This window comes from Homo sapiens, chromosome 8, assembly GCF_000001405.40.
Source record: "Homo sapiens chromosome 8, GRCh38.p14 Primary Assembly".
Taxonomy (NCBI): Eukaryota; Metazoa; Chordata; class Mammalia; order Primates; family Hominidae; genus Homo; species Homo sapiens.
In genome coordinates this window covers 21066017-21089510 of record NC_000008.11, presented here as the reverse complement: position 1 = coordinate 21089510, position 23494 = coordinate 21066017, and the positions used below count along the sequence as shown (strand labels likewise).

Here is a 23494-nt window from a genome sequence, read left to right as displayed (position 1 = left end):
TGACCTTGAGTGATACACTATATCACCAAGTGCCTCAGTTTCCTCAACTTTAAAATCAGGCTCCCTCATAGGGTTACTGTGAGGATTGAGTTAATACCTGTAAAGTGGTTTAAACAGCTCCTGGGACATACTATTTGATAAATGTTTACTATTATTACCATCGTTATTTCTAAGGATGCAAAGAAAATTAAGATGTGATTCTATAAACAAAAACATGTAATAAAATGTTGTAAGTACTACAGCGGAAGCCTACATAGGATATGCTGGGCTTACAAAGGAGAAATGTATTATTGCACCTGGAGGGAGTGATGTAATGAGGAAAAGATTAAAGGGGGAGGTACAAGAAAGGAGTGATGGCCAGTTGGAGGATGGGGTCAGCCAAGGAAGAAGCATAAGTAAAAATAAAGGCTTAAGGGCACAAAACACCAAGGCAGTTTGGAAATTGCAAACTGGTTGGTGTGACGGGAGCTTAAAATATGATGCTGAGGGGGTGGGGGTGGGGAGACCTGCAGAAATTGGGGAGAATCCTGAAACTGAAATGGGGGATTTGAGTTTTGCTTCACAGTATCAGGAAGCCACTAAAGGGTTCCATCCGTGGCAATATCAGGATCATGTTGGTGTTCTGGTGCAATCACTCTGGGAGGGTCAGTTGGAAAGCAGGGAGACAAATAAGGTATGAGACTCTTAGAGCAGACAAGACAAAGCTGGGGGTTAACCTGGGCAAGGGCTGTGCAACTATGACAGTTAGAAGGAAGGTGTATTAGTCTGTTTTCACTCTGCTAATAAAGACATACCCAAGACTGGGTAATTTATAAAGAAAAAGAGGTTTAATGGACTCACAGTTTCATGTGGCTGGGGAGACCTCACAATCATGGCAGAAGGTAAAAGACACATCTTACATGGAGGCAGACAAGAGAGAAGTGAGAACCAAGCGAAAGGGGTTTCCCCTTATAAAACCATCAGATCTCATGAGACTTATTCACTATCACAAGAACAGTACAGGAAAGACCCACTCCCATGATTAAATTACCTCCCACTGGGTCCCTCCCATGACATGTGAGAATTGTGGGAGCTATAATTCAAGATGAGATTTGGGAGGGGACACAGCCAAACTGTATCAGAAGGCAAAGACTGAAAATGGGGACTGTGGAAGAGAGTGTATCTGGGTGCTGCCAATCACTTGGAAACAGGCGGAAGAGTAGAGGTTTCAGGGAGAAATCTGAGTTGTTCTGGACATAATAGATTTGAAATGACTATGGGATCTCATTGGCAATGTCAAGTAGAGTGACATTCCATCTGGAGTTCCAGACTGGTCTGAGTTATTTAAAGTAATGTTTTGGGAGTCAGTACCCTATAGGGGTAGTGGAAACCAAGGAAAGAATGAAATTGCATAGGAAGAGCATGTTGGATTGATTTTTATAAAAGGCCAAGAATAGAAAATTAGAGAGGCCAACTGTTAGTCAGTGGAGAAGATGTGTGAAAACAAGACCAAGAAAGAAAAGTTGGTCAGAGAAGTGAAAGAAGACCCAACAGAGAGTGGATTTGAGAAGCTGGAAGTTGGTATCAAGAAGGATATGGTCAGTGGTGTCAAATGCCACATAAATAATTTAACAGGAGGACTGAGAAAGTTGTCCATTGTCCTGGTCTAGGTCCCAGGCCAATGAGAAAATTGTAAACGACTCTGAAATATTTACCTCAGCTGTAGACTCAGGTATTATGGCTCAATAACAGAGTCAGTCCTGCTGCTTGACAACAAATTAGGGAACACAGAAGTCGCCATGGCCCCTGACCCTTGTCCTTCTTACCCCGAAGCACAGATTGCTCTCAGCCTTTGAGATTTCCATTTCTTTCCTCTGGCAAGTGCTGGAGAAAGAGGGATAATAAACTTTTGCTTTGGGTTGGGCAGAACACTGGAGTGCTTCATGTACTAATATAACTCAGGGTATGAGAGAAGCATGGCTATCAAACTGTAGCTGTTGGTGCTAGATAAAAACTGAAGTTTGGAAAAGGAAATCCTGACCTTGAATGTATATGAAAAAGAACTTTGTCCATGGAAAAGCACTGCACTAGTGTTGTTACTCCTGTTAATGTTGTTTCTGGCTGAGCCAAGACAGCCTTTACCACAACACGGATCCAAGGCACCAGAAAAAGTGGAGACTTCTTGTTTCTCAGGACTTCTTGCAGTAATTAGACTTCTTCCCCTCTTTGAGTCTGGCTGTACCAAACCTAGGTGTTAAATGGTATGCCAGTGCCAGAGACCACACTCCCAGAAGGGGTGAAGATAGCACATGGCCTGAAGGAGAGAACAGAGTGAAATGCAAGCAGCATGTCTGGCCTGTCTGAAATGAGCCCAGCTGCTGAGCAAATCCAAGACACCAGTCTGTCTTCATACAACATCTTTCTTATTAATAATGTAAGCATGATGGAGGCTGTTATTGATCTTCGATATGTAAATCTTACTTCTCTATGAATAAAAAATGTAATAAGATCTCAGAAATAAGCTAAAGACCACTGCCTGGGTCTAAATGACAGGGATAAATTACAGTACACTGCAAAAGACTGAAAAATGTTAATGGATGGCAGTCCCAGTTTGCTTACTAGCTGGCTTAGAGCTGCTCAAAGCTGGAGCGATTAGGAAGTCAGCAGAAGAGATCACTGACCCCAGGCCCTCTGTGGCCTGCAGGATAGCACCAGATCCATCACTGTCAAGGGCCCTGCAATGGAAATAGTGAAGCTCCCTTGCTTTGACATACTTTGTCACTTCCGCTTTCACGGGTATGGGTTTGTTGGGGTGGGGATGGGGAACAGATTAAAGCTTTACTACTTTCCATGGGACTTAAGGTGTCATATAAAATTAAGTATGATATAAAATGGGAAAATTAAATAGTAAAACATCAAAAAGAATGTTAAAATAGACATTGCCAAAATAGGAATTGCCAACCACTTAAGATCAGTTACCTATTCTAGCTGGAAGTGTGTTTAGCTCTGTGTTCCATTGCATCTAATATATATATATATATATTTAATATATATTGTTCACTGAAGGTTGCTTCTCTGTGTTCTGACCCTACTTTCACTCTGAGTTTTCAGTTGCACTCCTTTTTCTTCGTATGTCCCACTGTGGTCCAATCCACAGTTTAGGTGCATTGCTTGGTTTAGACGGTGGGAGAGGGCTTTTCAGGACGTGTATCTTATCCAGTGGAGGATGCAATGCGTAGAACAGAAACAGTCAGCTCAGTACTGGCTGAAACTTCTCAGTGTTACCACTGCTTCCACGGGTAAGGGCACATATTTAAAGTATAAAGTGACCTTTTCCAGGTACAGCCTGTTTTCATGTTCCTTTTCTGCTTTCCAGGAAAGCAATTGATAGCCTCCATTTGACCTTGGCAGAGTGAGGCCATGTCCATTTTGGTAGGCTCTTTTGAGACTATTTTGTGTGTGTGTCTCTGAGCTAAAGTCTGCAAGACATGCTCAGCTTTCCAGATTTTTCCTTTCTTTCTCTTTCCTCTCTCTTCTCACCCCCATCTCTCTCATTTTTGCCCACCCATTTCCTTCAAAGATCCACACCTACTGGACTCACCCCTTTCAGCTACTCTTCATCATGACTTCCTTCCCTGGACCAGACCATTTTGCGTCTATTCTCCATCTCTGGTATTGTCACAGATAAAAAGAGCACTGAATCAGGAGGGTCTATTACTCTGTACTCATGGTGTCTATTACTGGTGTCATTAACTTTATGACCTTGGACAAGTCACTTCTTTTACGTTCTGGACAGGAAGTTGAAGACTTTAGATTTCATATTCTCTAAGGCCCTTCCCAGCTCAGAGAAACAGGCTCTTACTTTCACTGTCTTCCTGAAATTGCTCTTTCAAAGGTTACAATTATTTTCTAATTGCAAATCCAATAACTTTTCTCAATGATCAACCTACTTGACCTTTGGGGCAACATTTAATTATTGATTTAGTTTTTCTTCTTGAAACTCTTTGCTTCCTTTCATTTCTTGGCACTTGGTTCTCTTGCTTAATTAAGAATTCTCATCTGACTCTCTTTACATATCCTCAGTTTTCTCTTCCATATCACCAAATATCGGAAAGTCATAGACTGCCTGCAGAATATTAAAACCAAGAACAAAACAAGAGAGAAAACAGAGACCTAAGAATTCCATATGTTGAAGAGTTAGCATTCATATGTGAGAGTCACAAAGTTATTTTTAGATGTGATTCAGAAATGTTACCACCAATTTATCTCTTATGAATTAAAATTACTCAATGAATTGAGGAAATAATAATAATAAAATGATTTAAAATGATAGTTGTTTTACAATAGAATTACCAATGAACAATGAAACTAAGTAAACATAGAATTATATAATTGTTATTGTTATAGCTGTGAAATATAATATGAATGTCAAAAAGTCTATTCTTATAAAATAAGATGCGTAATATGAATAATAATTTAGTGGGAAGATAAAAAATCAGAGCAGGCTAAGTTTTATACAGAACAAAGTTAATAGTTTTAGTTTCATTATTAATCTTGATAATTAAGAAAATTCATTTAATTATTTTAAACATTGCAACTATATAGTCCAAATGTAAAATGTATATAAGCCAAATCATAGGAGGGAGAAAAGAGAGGAAAAAAATAAAAGGAACTTAAAGGAAGTAAATACAATGAAGTATAAAGCAAGATAACAGAAGAAAGATAAAATATATTAGTCTTTATAATAATTGTTAGCAATAGTGGATTTACATATAAAGCATACAATCATGAAACTTTCATAATTAATATATTAATTATAACAGCAGTTTGTGGATACAAAGAGTTCTTAGATAAAATGCCAAAAGAATGATGCATAAAAAATTGATAAATTGGACTTCTTCACATTAGAAACTTTCACTCTGTGAAATGTCCTATGAAGGGGATGAAAAGAAAAGCTACACATGGGGGGAAAATATTACTAAACCACTCATCTTACAGTGGACTAGAATACACAAAGAAGGCTCACAACTCAGCTGTGAAAAACACAAATACTAAAGAAGAGATATGGATGGCACATGAAAAGCTGTTCAACATCATGAATCTCTAGAGAAATACAAATTAAAGCCACAGAATATCACTACATACCTATTAGAATGGTTAGAGTTAAAAAAGTAAAAAAGATACGATGAAATACTGTAAAGGATGCAGAAAAGGGGGATCTGGTGAGAATTGCCAGTGGGGATATAAAATGCTACAGCCACTCTGGAATATGGTGTGGGAGTTGCTTATAAAAACTAAACATGCACTTACAATACAACCCAGCAATTGCACTCCTAGACATTTATGCCAGAGAAGTGAAAACTTATGCTTACACAAAAATGGGGCATGAATGTGCATACCAACTTCATTGGCGATAGCAAAAAAGCTGGAAATGATATAGACATCCTTCAATGAGTGAGTGGTTGAACAAACTTTGGTACATCCATACCGTGGAATAGTACTCAGCAATAAAAAGGAACAAACTATTGATATATGCAATCACTTGAATGAATCTTAAAGGTGTTATGCTTAGCGAAAATAAAAAAAAAAACAGCAATCTCCAAAGGTTACAGGATATGTGATTCCTTCTATATAACATCCTCAAATTGACAAAACTCTAGAGATAGAGAACCAATTAGTGGTTGCCAGGGATAAGGATGGAGTTGGGAGGTATGAATGTGATTATCAAGGGTGGTACAAAGGAGTTCCTTTGTGGGGATGGGACACTTCTGCTTCCTGATTGTGGTGGTGGTTTCACAAATCTATATATTAGGTCAATTTGCATAGATCTCTATCCCTCTCTCTCTCTCTCTCTCTCTCTCTCACACACACACACACACACGCACAGATAAATGCATGCAAAAATGGATAAAATTTAAATAAGGTTTGTGGTCTAGTTAGTAGTATTGTGCCAATACAAATTTCCTGGGTTTTGCTGTCCTACTGTTGTAGAGGTTGTCCCCATTGGAGCAAGCCAGATAAAAATTGAAAAGATTTCCTGTGATTCTATAATTATTTCAGAATTATTGAAAAATTAAAAATAAATAAATGACATGTATTTCCTTGCTCCTTCAGCTGAGACGTTCAAGAAGCAATTATACCCCACTAGCAACAATTGTGCAGATGTTCTGTTCTAACACCATTCTTCAGTTAAAAGAACCAAGGCTTCTTCGAGAAATGATTGGCTTTAGGACTGGGATAGGAAATATGCAAAATGAGTCTGTAGCATCTTATGCCAGAAAGTAAGGAAGTGCTGAACTAACACACAAAACAATGGAAAGATGATGTCAGAGGGACACAGGGCCAACAGAGAGAGCTCTAAATGGGCAAAACTGCAAAAACCAGGGCAGCAATATAAGTAAAATGATATTGTATTTAGCCCAAAGTATATAATAAATAACCTGTGAGTTTATCTTGGTAGAAAGGAGTACCTGAATAAATAAGTGTAGAAGAATAGACAAATCACTGGTATAGAATTCTAAATAATCTGAGTAGATGCTCCACCCTTGAGGAGGTAAAGCATACCTACCAAATCTTTAAGTGTAGGCTGCTCATAGAGACTTACTCCCAAAGCGAACACTATGGAAACAGGAGCAGAAGAGTAACTTCACACTGGAGAAGCTTGGGAAACACTACCTCAGCCGGGTGATCCAGGTCAGTATCAACAGTGACAAGTCATGGTGGTGGTGCCCACCCTTGTTGTGATGTGACGAGAATGGCATTTTCCTTCTGTGGTCTTCCTCCCTCAAACCCATAATCTAAGTTTAAGAAAAAACATCAAACAAATTCTTGTTGAGGAACACTGTACAGAAAACCTGACTAGTACTCCTCAGAATCATCAAGGTCACTGTCACAGCCAAGATGAGCCTAAGAAGATGGGACAACTTAACATAATGTGGTTCCTGAATGGGGACCGGAACAGAAAATGGACATCAGGTACAAACTAAAGAAATCTGAAAAGTTGTTTAACTTTAGCTAATAATAACATCTCAATATTGGCTCATTAGTTGTGACAAATACACTAATGTTAGATGTTGTTAATAGAGGAAAATGAGGGTGAGGGGAAAGGAAATCATTATTAGTTTTGCAAATTTCCTATAAATCTAAAACTATTTTAAGATAAAAAGTTTATATAAAAAGTGACGAGGAAATATCCACATCAAAATACAAGGATTCTTAGATACATTGAAAAACTAAACCCATGAAACTGTAGATTCCACCTATATATATCTTACATATATATATAATATGCAGATATAATTTATATCTTATATATATATATCTTTATGTATATCTTATATATCTCATGTATATCTTACATATCTGTATATATGTTATATACAGATATATATCTTATGTATATCTTATACATAAGATATAACTATGACAAACATTACATATAAAATTAAAAAACAAAAGTATGTGAAATGATACATCAAGTAAATACAAATGAGAAAAAGTCATTACTGAAAACAGGCAGAGGAGAATTCAAGACAAAAGCAGTTAGGTTAATGAGATCTTTCATCATGATAAGGATATAACAGTCATTAATGTTTCTGTTATAAATATCATAGTATTGAAAATTTAAAAATGACTTTGGAACACATGAATAATCCCATCACAGAGAAAGGGAAGCCTTAACATAGCGCTCTCAGTCTTTTAATAGATCAAAATGACTGAGATAAATGGGGATAGTAATGATTGAATAATATAACAAGCAAGATTAATTTTACATATTGTATATCAAAATGTGTCACCTGAGGAAATACACTTATTTCAAATAGTCATGACATGTTTACAAAAAATTGTTCATAGTCAAGGTCACAAAATCTATAATAAATTCTTAAAAGTAGATTTGTATGATCATATCTTTGAATTGCCAAGTTGTAAAGGTAAACTCGAATCTCAATTGCTTTTATAAAATAAGAAACAGTAAAAATAAAAAATAAAGAATCCAAGAATTAAGAAAATAGAAAAAAATTAAAAATCAGTAGAAAAACAAGAAGTTATACATGGTAACAGTAGCATGGGAATTAATGAGTTAGAAAATGAAGAAGTAATGGAAATTGGAAATAAAAATCCGAGAGCCATTCTTAAAATATCTGATAAATATCTGACAATCATAATAAAGAACAAGAAAAAATGGGATTAAACATAAACACACTCAAGATGTATCATGACATTCTAAGAGTAATTCTTGAAACTCAAAAAGATATAATTTTCAACCTATGTTATTTCTTTAGAAAATTTCAATGAACTGAATAACTTACTAATAAGAAATACTGAACAAAATGAACTCGAAAAGAAAAGACAAGCTTCATAGTCTGATTCAAAGGAATGGAGAAAATTTAAGTTACTTTCTGAAATTATCTTATCATCTCATACATGAGCCAAATCTTCTCATTGCTTTTGTTTCTTTTTATTTGTCTCCATCTGGGCTGCTCTGGTTGTGCCTATTCTCCAGCAGCTGAAGCCAGGTCAGTCTCCTGCTGGAACTATCATAGCTCTTTCAGCATTTCCAAAGCTAGATTATTCTAAAACAAAGTCTTGAATGTGCTCCGTCTGTCCAAGTTTTAGAGTCATTGCAACATAAAACTCCGGAGTATTTAAAAGATACAACTGAAGAAGTGTCAGGAACTCTACCAGAAACCAAAATCATGGTGTTTTTTTGTTGTTTGTTTGGTTGGCTTTTTTTTTTTTTTTGACAGAGTCTCTATCACCCAGGCTGGAGCGCAGTGGTGATCTCTGCTCACTGCAACTTCCACCTCCCAGGTTCAAGCGAGTCTCCTGGCTCAGCCTCCCAAGTAGCTGGGACCACAGGCATGTGCCACCAAGCCTGGCTAAATTTTGTATTTTTAGTGGAGACGGGGTCTCTCCATGTTGGTCAGGCTGGTCTCAAACTTCTGACTTCAGGTGATTTACCCACCTCGGCCTCCCACAATGCTGGGATTACAGGTGTGAGCCCCCATGCCCGGCCCAAAATCATGCTTTTATTCAATGGGCAAGTCTGATTCCCAATCTAGAATATTTTTCTATTCAAGTTTATAAGGCTTTTTCTATCCCTGATGTATGGGGTTAAAACCATTATTCATGATTAGGAACCAGAAGAAACAGTCAGAGGGCACGCAAATATGGAAAGGTAGAAAAACATATGAGCAGGATATAAAGTCACCATTGGTTAATACGCAAAACAAATGAAACAGGTAGAAAGCATCTTTGTAGAACCTATTCCAAATACATAATTTTACTTGATTTCTTTCCCCCCTTGAGATGGGGTCTCACCTGTTGCCAAGGCTGGAGTGCAGTAACATGATCTCAGCTTACTGCAGCTTCTGCCTCCTAGGTTCAAGCAATTCTCCCACTCCAGTCTCTTGAGTAGCTGGGATTACAGATGTCCGCTACTATGCCCGGCTAATTTTTGCATTTTTAGTAGAGACGGGGTTGCACCGTGTTGGCCAGGCTGGTCTCAAAATCCTGACCTCAGGTGATCCGCCCTCCTTGGCCTCCCAAACTGCTGGTATTACACGCATGAGCCATTGCGCCTGGCCTGATTTTTTAATATCCAAACGTTGAGCAATTAAGAACAGGAGCTGAGAAATATCTGAAATTAGCAAAAAGGGATCTGAAAAAAAAAAACGAAATATAGAGGCTCAGACCAATGTAAGATAACAACAGATAGATCACAGAAACATCAGAAGAATAAGAAGTCCATAAAGTTTTACACATTAGAGATTTTTCATTCCAGTACATATTGATAAAAATTTAATTTTTTAATTTTTTTTTTATTTTTTGTAGAGATGGGGGTTTCACTATGTTGCCCAGCCTGGTCTTGAACTCCTGGGCTCAAGCAATCCTCCTGCCTCAGCTTCCCAAAGTGCTGGGATTACAGGCATGAGCCACTGCACCTGGATGCTAAAAAAATTTTGTGACTCCTTAGAGATAAATAATTTAAAATCTATTTCAGAACATTTGCAAGTTCAGAACATGCAGACATCTTCTGTAGAAGATACGTAATTTGTTTTATGTAATTTTATTAGATAAATAGTGGGGTAGGGTAATGTATGCCTCTCTCTTATTGCAAAGTATGGGTTTAATCATTCTCTAATCATCATATTATTAACATTTTGAGATCTAGGGAATAAAAGCCCTCCAGATATTGTTATTGATTATAACCTTGACTGGGTTTACCCACCCCCTGAGAATTTCAATCATAATATAGACTTATTTCAGAATGAGACCTAAATCAGTGTTAACCTGTCTGGCAGTTCCACAAACTCAAATATAGTCTGACTTATCCTCTTCCTAAGTTTCATTCCTTTTCTGGAGTACACAGAAATACTGCATTTCTCAGCTTCTCTTGCAGTTGGGTTGAGACATGTGACTAGTTCTGGCCAATGAGCTTTAGCACAAGTGACATGAGTCCCTCTGGGCCAAAGGATAAAGCAACAGTGTTAAGTTTGCTACGTATTCTCTCTTCTGATGTTCTGCTTTATTATGGAAGCACCTATATCAAGATTGGAGAGCCACAAACTGAAAGAACCTGGGTCCCTTAGCCAGTATTTAAAGGGAGCTGTCCTGGAGAGATGGAAGCATCTGCTTTGCATGAAGAAGAAATATTTCTTTTCACACGAAGCTACTGAGATTTCTGGATTTGTTTATTACTGCAGCCTCACCTAGCCTATTCTGACTAAGAGCTTTTCCTTCCCAGCTGGACATCACAGTCACTATTATTCTTTATTGAAAATATACAGCTCCACATTTTAGACAACTCATTGTTTTACTAAGAATGTAGAAATGTTTATTATTCCACATTTTTGTATGCCTTGTACCTCTGTCTATACTGTCATTTCTAACACTAGTCCCAATAAATCACAATTATTTGGGGGCTAGGGAATGTTCAATGAATGTATATATATATATATATATATATCCTGTCTTGAAGCCTAAGTTGTTTCCTCTGCCTAAAATATTCTTTCCCTAGATATCTGCTTGGTTAACTCCCTTACTGTCTTTAACTCTTTGTTTACGTCTCAATTTCTCAATGAAATCTATACTGACTATCCTGGTTAATACTGCCACCTGCACTACACACACACACACACACACACACACACACACTTCAAATCCCTCTTATTTCATTTTTTTTCTACAGTGTTTCATTTTTTCCACAGTAAGTTTTACCTTCTTGTATGTTACATAATTTACTTGTTTATTCCAGGCATTGTCTGTCTTATATTCCTCTCTGTCCTGATTGTAAATTCCATTAAGGGTAAAAATTTAAATGTTTTGTTGATTGCCGTAAGAGTGTCTAGCAGCTAGTAGGCATTCAATAAATATTTATGGAGTGAAAAAACATTCATTTAGAGCAAGATCTGGTGCTGGGCACTAGAAGAAATACAAAGATCTGCAAAATGCCATTTTGTGCTTGGTATGGGTGAACTTAAAATCTAGCAAGAGAAAAAATGAAATTCAGACATCACTGCAGTGTTACATATGAAATGTGGTATATTCAGGAGATCGTAAGATTATTTACATGGGAAATGTGGTATGTCCAGGAGATGGTAAGATTATTTACATATGAAATGTGGCATGTTCAGGGGGTGGTAAGATTATTTACATGGGAAATATGGTTATGTCCAGGAGATGATAAGATTATTTACATATGAAATGTGGCATGTTCAGGGGGTGGTAAGATTATTTACATATGAAATGTGGCATGTTCAGGGGATGGTAAGATTATTTACATGGGAAATGTGGTATGTCCAGGAGATGGTAAGATCATTTACATATGCATATGAAATGTGGCATGTTCAGGAGATGGTAAGATTATTTACATGGGAAACATATGTTCAGGATATGTTAAGGTTATTTACATGTGAAATGTGGCATGTTCAGGAGATAAGATTATTTACATGAGAAATGTGGCATATGCTGGAGATGGTAAGATTCTTTCTAGCTTCAGCCGTGTGTGTGTGTGTGTGTATGTGTATGTGTGTGCGTGCATGCTGAGTGTTTGTTTATACCCTATAATGTTTTAGGTGCAGTTTCCCTCCTAAATTTGTCCTGCTCTCTCATACCTTGTAAATTTACCGATTCACGCTGCAGTTAAATGGTGCGGTTGTACCATAACCCTCAATATTAACAAAATAGGAGTAGTCCCAGACAGTGGAGAGTGTGTGTGGAGCTAACAGACCTGTGAAACTCAGGGCTGAGTCTGTTCTCCAAGGCTCCTCCAGGGTGTTTCTCATTACATCCCAACATGTCTGCCTTACGGGGGCCCTGGGGAGAAATTCATGGAAGGCTTAAGAGTCTGGAATAGTTTTGTATCTGCAGAATGATTGGTCTGTTTTTATCATACGGAGGGTATGAATTACATAATTAATCAGGTTTTTCTTTTCAAATAGTCCATTCTAAAGCTTAGCACCAAATTTGTGGTTCATCATTTGTGAAGGCATGGTCTTTTCTGGCTTGTTTTTTATTCTGTTTTCCTCATTCCCAGCTCCATTTTCTGTCTCTACCCTTGTTTTGGTTTTTTCCTTGCCACCTTTGTTTAAAGTGTGTTTATTTATTTATTTTATATCCCTTTAAGCTACTTCAAATCCTTTATGAAAAGTTAGGGGAAATATAAAGAGAGCAGTCCTTACATGTCTCTTTTGGGTACATCAGTGTACTGGGTCTAGGGAAAGGAAGATGAAGAAGAGATGCAAGGAAGAAAGAAAAAGAAAAGAAACATGACAGTGTCCCTGCCCTCAAGGAACTTGGGGAGTGATGGCCCAGAGCTCTCCATGGCTGCACTGCTCATTGATTTCTCCCCTCTCTGAACTCTAACAGCACTTAGAGTCAATAACACCTAATTTAGCACTTGATGATATACTGCCTGGTACTGTCTGCTTATTGTTTTATGTGGCTAAGTGTTGCCTTTTGGGCAGGGACCTTGTGTTAACTTCTCCTGTCTTCCCATAGTGAATAGTGCAGTTGCTCAGTGGATTGATTGATCGAGAAGCCATCCTTACCAGGAGGAGGATCTATGCCCCTTGGAAGTCAGAGACTGGTGCAGAGACACCCTTAGACCCGCTAGTCAGACAATGGCATTGACTGCCTCATCCATCCTTTCTGGGCTGCTGGGGTCTCTGAAGAACTGGACACTATGTATAGCTCTGTATGTCAGGTTTGGGTCTAAATGTGTTATTGTAAGGGAAATTGAAATGGTTTAATAATTATTGCATTCAGCAGAGATTTGCTGTTTCCTTACCCTGTGCCAGACACTGTGTTATGCTTTTGTAATATGTCAGTAAACAAAACATCCCTGCACTGATGGTGTTTACATGCAGGCAGCATGGGAATGGGAGAGTCAGATGTTAAGCATGAGATGTAAAACAGGTAAATTATATAGCATGCTAGAAAGAAGTAAGAGTTATAGAAAAATTTAAGAAGGTAGACATGAGAATCGGAGATTGAAAGTGCTATATGTGGACAGGGCATTGCAATCACAAATACAAAACAGCTGTAGGTGCTATGACCTGTAGCCAGATTCTAGAAATATTTTTTGAAGCTGGAGGATACGGTATTTCTGGGTTTGGATGGAAGATGTGAGAGAATGGAGTCAAGGATGACTCCAAGGTCTTAGGCCTGAATAAAAGGGCAGAATTGCTGCTTCCAGAGCTGAAGAAGACTCTGGGAGGTACTGATGTGGAAGCGAAGATAAGGGGTTTAATTTTGGACACACTAATTTTTACATATCTGTAGACATCCAAGTGAAGATTGGATATACTAGTCTGCTAGTGGAATGCTAGTTGGAAAGAAGTCTGGAACGGAAATGTGAACTTGGGATCCATTGGAATATAGATGTTATTTAAAGCCCTAAGACTGTAGATCACACATGATGAGAGCTGATAGGTGAAGAGGACCAAGGAGGGAACTGTGACCTTCCATCAGTAACAGGTACAGGTGAAGAGAAGGGATCGGCAAGAGAGCCTGAGAAGGTGTGGAGCAGAAATTCAGGAGAGAGTGGTATCCTAAAAACCAAGTAAAGAAAATGTATGAATGAGAAGGGCGTTATCAACCAGGGCAGACTCTGCTGTAGGGTCAATTTAGAGGAGGACAGAGAATTGATTTAGCAATGGTGAAGTCATTGGCGACCTTGATATGAACAGTTTCAATGGATTGGTGTGGCCAAAGGATTGACTGGAGTGAGTTTAGGAGAGAACGCTAAAAGGAGAATTGAAGACAGTGAATGAGGATAACTCTTGCAAGGATTTTGCTGCAAAGAGGAGTAAAGAAATAGATCAGTCACTGGGAGGGAAGTGAGAATCATAAGAAGCTATTTGTTTGTTTTTTATTAAGATGAGAGAAATAGCAATATAGGGATATTTTGTATGCTGATGAAACTGTTTTAGTAGAAAATGAAAAAAAAATGATGATGCAAAGGAGGGTAGAGAAGGGCAGTATTGCTGAAGTAATGTCCTTGAATATGCAAGAGGGAAATAGGAAGGAGTGCAGAGAGCCTGGCTTGAGGTGGGGCAGAGATCTTGGTAGGAGGCAGGAAGAGAGTATGTGGAGAAAGATACATGCTGCTGGTGAGTAGAGTATTGTCGTATGAGAACCACCATTTTTTTTATTACATAAATAGAATGTGCTAATATCAAAATATCAAAATCCCAATATCAAAAATCCCAATGAGGTGGTAGTTATCCTCCATATCAAAAATCCTAATGAGGTGGTAATTAGCCTCCATATTTTACCTGTAAGGAAACTGAGGCTAAGAGAGTGAAAATAACTTGCCCCAGGTCACACCATGGCTGGCAACTGGTAAATGCCAGAATCCAAGCCCACATTTTTCCTACTCCAGAACCCATAACAGTGACCATTGCTCTCTGTGGCTTCTGTGGGGGATGAGCCTGTGGTCCCTTAGGCTGGGGTCTCTGGGAGAGTAACTGGGTATCTCATCGCAGATTCCCACAAGGGCCACAAGTGAAATGGGACTTAGAAGGGCTACAGTCAGGACAATTTGTCACCTTTTCTCTCTTTCTGTCTAAATACTGGATTCCACGTAGCCCCAAATGAGAAGTCCAAGGGAAAAGCCTCCCCCAAGGATGGCATTGGCATTTAATGTTACCCTCCGAGAATCGAAGACATAGGGACATGGTCTAGAACCAACTAAGAAGATCGGAGAAGGAGATAGGAGATGAGGAGTGAGGTCTGACACGGATCCTCCGACATTAAGCTCTGTGCCATCTGCATGCAGACCTGTGTTTAGTACAGGAACTGAGTCCAGTCTATTCTATCCTCTGTATTACCTCCTGTAGAAGATAAGAGTCAAAAGATGGTTAAAATAGAGACCGCTTAGTCCGATTTCCCACCCAGGGGAGAGTGCTCTCAGGAATGACTCTACCAGACTCTTTTTAAACACCTCCATTGTTGGGGATTTCACTGCCTTATTGGACAATTGGCTCTATTATTAGGCAGCTACAATCATTAGGGTTTTTCCTTAAGCATTGCTGAAACCTGCTTTTTTTTACGCTCCCCACTAACTGGCTGTAGTGATGTAGTCACACCTGCTGTGAAAGTCAGGCTTTTGAAATTTCTGAATGATTCATCCTAAGTAGCTTCAGTGGAGGCAGAGGAGAATACTTCTTTCTACTAGCTTGTAAGCTCATGTGGTAGTCATAAGAGAAGGAACAGACAACGGCTGAGGGGGTCTCTGCTTTACCGAGCACTTGGCTGTGATGCTTTGGACCTTCTGAGTAGGCAGAGGAAGACTAGATTTGGTGTAAGCTCTGACTCTACCTCGATGTCCTGTAACTTGAACAACTCAGTTTCCTTCATCTGCATGGGCCTGCTTTGCCATGATTCTCTTAGCAGTGCTTGTCTGGAAGATGGTGGGCCAAGAGGCTCCCTGACTGCCCCTTCTCTTCCCACCAGACTTCTTTGATTTACCTTGAGTACTCCTTGCTTGTAATGCCCCATCCTTGGGGGAACTCTGACTTTCTCACTTATCAAAGTGACACATAGCTTGAAAGAGAAGCTGTCAACTCGGAAATGCCATCTTTCTTGCAGAAAGAAGATCTGTGAGGTGCCAGGGGCAATGATGGTAAATGGTCTGGACATGGCATGTGTTCTTCCTGCCTTGTCACAGAGTAGACAGGAAAAAGCTATTGTATAGAGCTCCCCAAAAGTGCGCTACCACTCCGGGCCCCCGGTATGCCCAGGAAGACCCATTGCTGCACTGAGGTAAAAAAGGGGCATATTTTCTCCCCCTTTTTCTTCCTGGAATCTCTAAATTGTTTCTACCCATTATAATTTTTCTCCCTTAGAACAGCTCTGTGAATAAGCCATGAATTAACAGAACATAATGTTCAAACCATGTCCGTTGTGGGCATGAAGTTCTGCTTTCGAAGGGGACACCAGAAGGGGTCCCCGGGCAGAAATTCAAATGCTCTGCCCGGCTGGTTGTTCCCTTGCCTCTCCCACAGCCGTGTCCCAGACGTTACAGCCCAGAAGCCAACACTGACAGGGAGAGCTATAGGTAGCTGGGCTGCCAGTGGCCAAAGGATGGTCCACCTGAGTTTGGAAAGTAGAGGACATGGTAAGATGTTTGGGCATGAAAAGTGGAAGGAACATTTCCATTTAAGCCCATTCTGTGATACCTTAGTGAAAACGTTTCCAGGCTGACAAACTCTTCTGTGCCTCTGAAAAGACCTCGGTATTTAGTATTCACTCTTGACCCCACCACACAATACGGAGCAGCCACTGATGGTGCCTGGTGCCATGTTTTTGGTGCTTCTTGCTGGGTGATGAATCACAAGGAAGAAACTGAAACATGTCCTGAACAAGTACCATAGCCCAGGTACCATGCTAAATACTTTCACATATGCTAGCACATTTAATCCTCCTTCTTGTGAAAAGCAAGATATTACTGAATCTCCCAGATAAGATAACCAAAGCTTACAAATGTTGTATAACTTAGTAAAGGGCTGAGCTTTGGTTGATTTAAGGTTTATGATTTAAGGTTGTTTAATCCTAGATTGAAACATAAGGTGTTTCCCCTGCATACGTCAAATTATGTTTGTGATAAATTCTAGAGAAGTATCTTGATTCTTCTCTGGATTTTGATTGTACGTTGCACTGTTTGCAATAAGTGGGCTAATAGGGATTTGGTACCTATAATTTGTTTTAGGATTTATAGGATGTTTTTCTTTGGAGTCAGTACTATCTTTTGGAGGGTGTGTCATGGAGGAATTGTCAATAAATCCTATCCTGGAGACAAAGTGGACCTAAACTTTGCTTTCAACTCAGTTGAATGGGAATGTATTAGGCACACATTGTGGTCTAGCCATCTATGAGAGACCAAAGTACAGACATAATCTCTTTCATTAAGCAATTCACAAATTGCTTGAAAGGACACAGGATTCAGCTGTACAGATACACAGAGCAATGCCGGTAAGTTATAACAAAGGCTCAAGTGAGTCCTGGAGACAGTGAGAGTTATAGGAGGTCAGAGGAGTGAGTGATGAAACAGCTGTGGTATTCAGGAAACATTTGATGCAAGAGGGAAGCTTGAGATGAGCTTGAAAATGCATAGAATTGCTCTTGGGAAGAAAGAAGTAGAGATTTTCTAAATGAGAGGAGGGGGAACTGCTTAAGTGTGGAGGTAAAAATGCTACTAGTGTGTTTAGGGGATGAGGAGAAGCCCATTTTTGTTGGAACCACACAGGAAACCGTTGAAGATATGATAGGAAAGGCAATGAGACCTTGAACGCTAACTGGAACGTAAACCTTATTCCAATAGCTATGCAAAGCCCCAGCAGGTTCTTGAGCAGAGAAAGGTTGTAAGAAAAGGAGTTTTCAGAAACTGAATCTACAAATGGCAAGCATAGGAAGCAGTGGAACAATATTAAGAGAAAGGAGATCATTTAGGAAGGCATTGTCATGATTTAGGAGTGAAGTCATGAGCACTTAACCCAGGTGAAGGTGGGGGAAAAAAAAGAAAGGGGTGGGCAGGGCCCAACTCAGGAGATATTAACAGCAGGCCCAGGGACTTTCTATGGAGGGAAGGGAGAAGGAGGAATCAAGGGAGAGATCGTGGATTAAGCTTGGATAGAGTCAAAGTTATTCTCATTTGGGACCAGGCTCCATGTGAAGGGCTGTCTTGTCTGGGAGCTCCAGGAGCCTTGGGCTGAAGCCTTATCTCTGTACTAGTTATAGCCAAGTCACCTTCCCACCCACAGGCTTCACATTCTTTCTATGTAAGGCAAAGACAGTTGGCAAAATGCACTTTGGAAAAGTCTCTTCCAGCACCTTCATATAGAATTTTGTATGACAAAGTCCTAAAAAGTATGCATCTTTCTCATCCCTCCTTATCCCCATGCCTAGCATAGATTAATCTCCAAAAGGACAGAGGCTCCAGCGACCCGACTTCGATGTGCAAGAGGCACTGTGCTCCATTCTGCACCACCATGGGCTGACTGAGCATTTATGTTGCAGACTTTGAAGTTAACTAATATTCAGAGGGTAAGACTGAGCTGGGGTGTGCCAAGCCTCATTAGCTTTGTGGTTAGGTCACGGTGCCTGCCCATGAGGATGCTAAATGGCGGCATTGTCAGGATGAGACAATGTAACTGTCTCACTGCATTAACAACCCATCAATCCCTACAGCCACACTGCATGGCCCCTTTCCCCCAGCAGCAGCCTCCTTGGTGAGATGGTGTATGAAGGCTGCAGCTGGCTGTGCAGGAGGGATGCTCATCTGTTCTGTCTCCAGCTTCTGCTGATCGCAGATATGGTGCAGAATGAAGGATGCTGAGACCCTGGGCCTCACCCCATGACAGGACATTGCAGTGCCCATGTCATAAACATAAATAAGTATACAATGAAAGTGACCCCAGGTGGAACCTAATTTCTGCAGCCTTAAGAAGCTTCTTTTGTCATCTCAAGGGATACAGTGGCTGTGGAGAAGCAAAGATCAGAGCAGGTCTCAAATGCAGATGGACATGCAAGATTTCAAGCCAACAATAAATGTCTGACCTGCTCAAACGTAAATCCTCTCTCTTCTTAAGTGGACCTAAAATTCCCACTAGCACACATCCATTGCTCTAAGAAATTGCATTTTTGGTCACTAGGTGACAAGTGACCTCTTTTCAAGTTCCTCCAGGTGGGATAACACATTAAGTCTTTTAAACTATCCTATATATATATTTTTTTCTGGCCTGCTATTAATAATGTCACTTAACATCCACATTATCCTTTGCATACACACAGTAAGTTTTAATATTAAAACAGTCCTAAGAAATATTAACATTAGTCTCAAATTTTAAAAAAGAACAGATCAAATTTACTAAATGCCTTATTTCCTCCAACAAAGTACTCTTTGTTGGCATATGTTAAAGAGTCATAAATTAGATGTCTTACAATTGTTATATATATTACATATATAATATAGTTTCTCTCCCATTTAAAAAACAAATGGCTACTAAATAGCCACATCAAATTGAGGAAATCCAGTGTTAGCTGGCTAGTCCACTGGCAATACCCCAAGATATGGACTTTGGCCAGTTCAGTGTTGATGGGATGCATCAAAAGAAAGACTCAAACTGTGGAGTGCTATGAAGAGGAGGCATCATTGTACTGGGGACCAGAGTGGGTGACCCTGAGAAAGAGTCTGAAGGCTCTTTGCTGCTTGAGAGTGGGGATAGAGAAGAGAAAAACAGGTCTAAGGTTGATGACAGTGATGCATGTTTTTGAGGTTGAGGCCTTGAACTGTATACTTATTTTGTGTAGTATTTGATCTGTCCTCCCTATAATGCCAAGCCCCTATCGTCTACACAGTAGTGTCTTTTTCTGAATCATGGCCCAACAGCTTGTATCAACATGTCTCAAACATACTTGACCATCATGTACTTAGAAAAGTGGACTTAATTGATGAGCATCAACAAGAGCTGAATATAATGTGTATATTTTGTTGATATTTCCCTTCTGTGACACACCTATTGTGAGGCACTCTAGCATGGAGGTTTAGAGTATGAGCTCTGGAGGCAGATAGATACTCTGGGATTGAATCCTGATTCTATCACAGTCTATATGATTCTGCACAAGTCATTTAACCTTTATGTTTCAGTTCTTCCTATCCCTCCTCTAGCCAAAATTTGGCTGACTTTTATCAAATCTAGATCTTTATCCTTATTACCCTTGTATCTCAGCGTTGGGAGGTATGAAAAGTATTCTCTTGGCTACCCATTGCCTTTTCTCCCTCCCTTTTGTAAAAGCCTATAGTCTTTAAGGCTCAGACCAAATCAGCCTACTGCTTTCTCCCCCTTCTTCTAATAATCATTTGAGGAGCATCTTGCCTTGTGTCCCTATGCATTACGACTTGGTGCTGATTCGCTGTCTTCTCCTTTTCAACTCCAGTCCTCATCCTAGGCAAAGTCAGCATGCTTATGGACCCCACATTAGAGTCCTGGCTTCTTGGTTCCTTGAATTTCTCACATTCAATGACCTTCTTTACTTCAGCTGAGCCATTCACTCCATGATAAGATGCTAAACCACGTCATTCACAGAAACATCTCCACCTCCAAAATCAAGAACTTCCATGTTTGTACTAAAAGCTTTTATCCTTCTACCTCAGTTGTCCAAATACTTCCACTGCATGAATACGCTGACCTCAAAACTTTCAACTCATTGAAGCCCATTTCCATCTGTAAATCACCCCGTCTTCACTTCCCACTTTATCCATCTTTGCTTGCTTATTACATAACTTTAGTCAATCTATTTTAAAATAACTCCAAATCATTTGTTGCTTACTTTCTTTCCATTTCACTTACCTTGAAAAATGTTAATTCTGACAGAAACAACCCACTTTCTCTTGTCCACACCTGAGCAGCTGGGCATAGGAGGAAAACATAGAAGTAGGAACATAGATATAGCTATAAAATAATGAACACTGTCTTAGGTCAAGCTTCCTGGAAACTGATTCTGAGCTGGAGATTTGTGTGTAGGAGGATTGTTGGAGAATGGTCACCGGAATATCTCAAAGAGAGAGAGAAAGGCAGGAGTGAGCAGAGGGAGAATTTGACCTATGACACAGTTGCAGCAAAGGCCTTGGCCAACCTCACAAGAAGCTCTGGAACCACGATGGCTCTTCAGAGTTGTCACTGATTCAGGCAAGAGGGCTGGGCCTTTGAGGATATGGGATGCCTCTGGGAAGGGAGAGTAATTACCTTAAACCTTTGGCTGAAAGTAATTCCTGGGAAGTGACTCATCTGGAAGCCACCAGCAGCCAACATTTACATGGCTGGGGGTTCCTGAGGCACGGGCTTGGTGAAGCAGCATAGAACCCACTTCATTATAAACATTATAGTGCCTGGCTCTGCATTCTTCCTGCAGTACCCCTATATGTGAACAGCTTCTCCAAGATTCTGGCTGTTCTCATTTCCTGAAAAAGCTCTTGCCTTCCTGACTTCCTACTTTATGTCTATTTTAGGTTTTCCTTTCCCTGAGCTAGCACCTCTGCTAGCCTGTGTGACTTACCTCCTCGTGATGTGACTCATACGCTTATCCTCCAGAGGTCTGAGCCCCTGGTCAGCAAACTCCTCTTGGGCTGTAGCTGCTACACATATACCAAGTTACTGTCAAAATTGGGTAGAAAAGTGCCAATAAAAACTCCAGTGGATCACTGGAGAAACAAATGTATTTCTCTCTGCCCACCTTGTGTAAAGAATAGCCCAAACTCCATCTGATTGTTAAGGGAAATTAACCTGCCAGGACTGTGAGTGCTTTCTGTGCCAGCTGCTGATACAGCTAGGCCAAAGTGGCCATAGGCAGCAATAGCATGTTTTTGTTTTGTTTTGTTTCGAGACGGAGTCCTGGTCTGTCACCCGGGCTGGAGTGCAGTGGCGCAATCTTTTCTCACTGCCACCTCCGCCTCCCGGGTTCAAGCGATTCTCCTACCTCAGCTTCCCGAGTAGCTGGGACTGCAGATGTGTGCCACCATGCCCGGCTATTTTTTTTTTTTTTTTTTTTTTTTTGGTATTTTTAGTAGAGACAGGATTTCTCTCTGTTGGCCAGGGTGGCCTCAAACTCCTGACCTCAGACGATCTGCCTGCCTCGGTCTCCCAAAGTGCTGGGATTACAGGTGTGAGCCAATGTGTCCAGCCAACAATAGGAGAAGTTTTAATGACATTCTTGGTCTGTTCCCAGTGGAAAATTAACATTGGCAAACATAAAGGGTCACTGAGAGTGATGGTAAAGAGGGGTGCCCCAACTGCCATTCTTCAGTATCTGAATTTATTTCTATATAAATACATGTAGTATATGTATAATGGTCTTGAATTTAGGAAGCATGGCAGTGTTTTGCATCCTAGAAGACAGGCTTCCCATTCTTTCAGAGAATCATATTGAAACTGGCACCTCACCTGTATCCTCAAAAGACCATTCCATTGCTCTATCAGGCTGTCAATTTCTTAGGAGTCGTTGCATGTAATAAGATGAGTGAATTTCGTGGTTATATGCTCCATCTCCCCTCCCTTGCTGTAAAGTAGGTTTCCTGGTCTAATGTGATGTTGTGCAGGATCCCATGTTGCTGGATTAAACACTGATAAAGGCTTTAGACAGTGTGCTGGCTAAGGGCCTGGGGGCAGGGAAGGTAAGCCCATACCTGGAATATGTGTTTATATTATCAAAATGAACCTCTGCTGCTTCTGGGGTGGAAGAAGTTCCATGTAACCCATTTGCCATCAAACATCAGATTGGTCTCCTATAGGGATGCTGCCATATGGGAGACATAGCATTTGTCTCTGCTGGTAGGTTGGACATTTGACAGGGTTAAGAGCTAGAGCAGTCATGATAAGCAGGAGCTCATGTCCCTGAGTCTGTGTATCGTATCCATTGCTGCCACCATGGCCACTCCATTTCATAAACCCATTGTGCAAGTCAAGATTCTGTTATGAGAGCCTGGCTGGTGTCAGCTGGCTTAGTTGTTCTCTTTAAATGCTTATTTAGTCCTCTTCTTGGGTGGATGCTCTCTGGAGGGTATTAACATATGATGTAAAGATCTTCACATTTTGGGCCAGTCCCATAGGCCAATCCATTAGCCTCTTCTCCATTCTTTCTTGTCCCAATCTTCTAATCTGTTTTCTTACAGGTCCCTGATCAACTGGCGAAGACACTATCACTTCCAATGAGGCCATATAGAGCCTTACTTCAGGCCACTTATACTTCCACTCAACGTGGACAACCAGATGTCTCACCTGCTTGTAGTGCTTCTCTTCATTGCTCTTAGAGGATCACCCCCAAGAGGGGATACAGTGCAGCAGAAGTTCACTTTCAGTTTCTGCTCACATATCAAACAAACCCATCCATGCCCATGATGAATCTCTTTCTCCTGTGTCAGGTAGTTGTTGTCCAGAGGTGAGTTGAAAGAGAGATGCCAGTGTAACTGGTACAAACAGAAGGGTCTGGGCCACCTGTTGATGTGGCTTATTTA

The 23494-nt window shown here is 40.2% G+C and overlaps 2 annotated features.

Annotated features, from left to right (window-relative positions):
• Nucleotides 20626-21825: an enhancer, noted in NCBI's record as "CDK7 strongly-dependent group 2 enhancer chr8:20925197-20926396 (GRCh37/hg19 assembly coordinates)". NCBI's record gives its function as "activates an origin of replication core promoter dependent on BRD2, BRD4, P300/CBP, MED14 and CDK7 cofactors, with strong dependence on CDK7, by STARR-seq in HCT116 cells {active_cell/tissue: HCT116}" and the evidence as "EXISTENCE:reporter gene assay evidence [ECO:0000049][PMID:35650434]".
• Nucleotides 21786-22402: an enhancer, noted in NCBI's record as "H3K27ac hESC enhancer chr8:20924620-20925236 (GRCh37/hg19 assembly coordinates)". NCBI's record gives its function as "activates a minimal SCP1, AML or CMV promoter by ChIP-STARR-seq in naive H9 embryonic stem cells {active_cell/tissue: H9 hESC(naive)}" and the evidence as "EXISTENCE:reporter gene assay evidence [ECO:0000049][PMID:30033119]".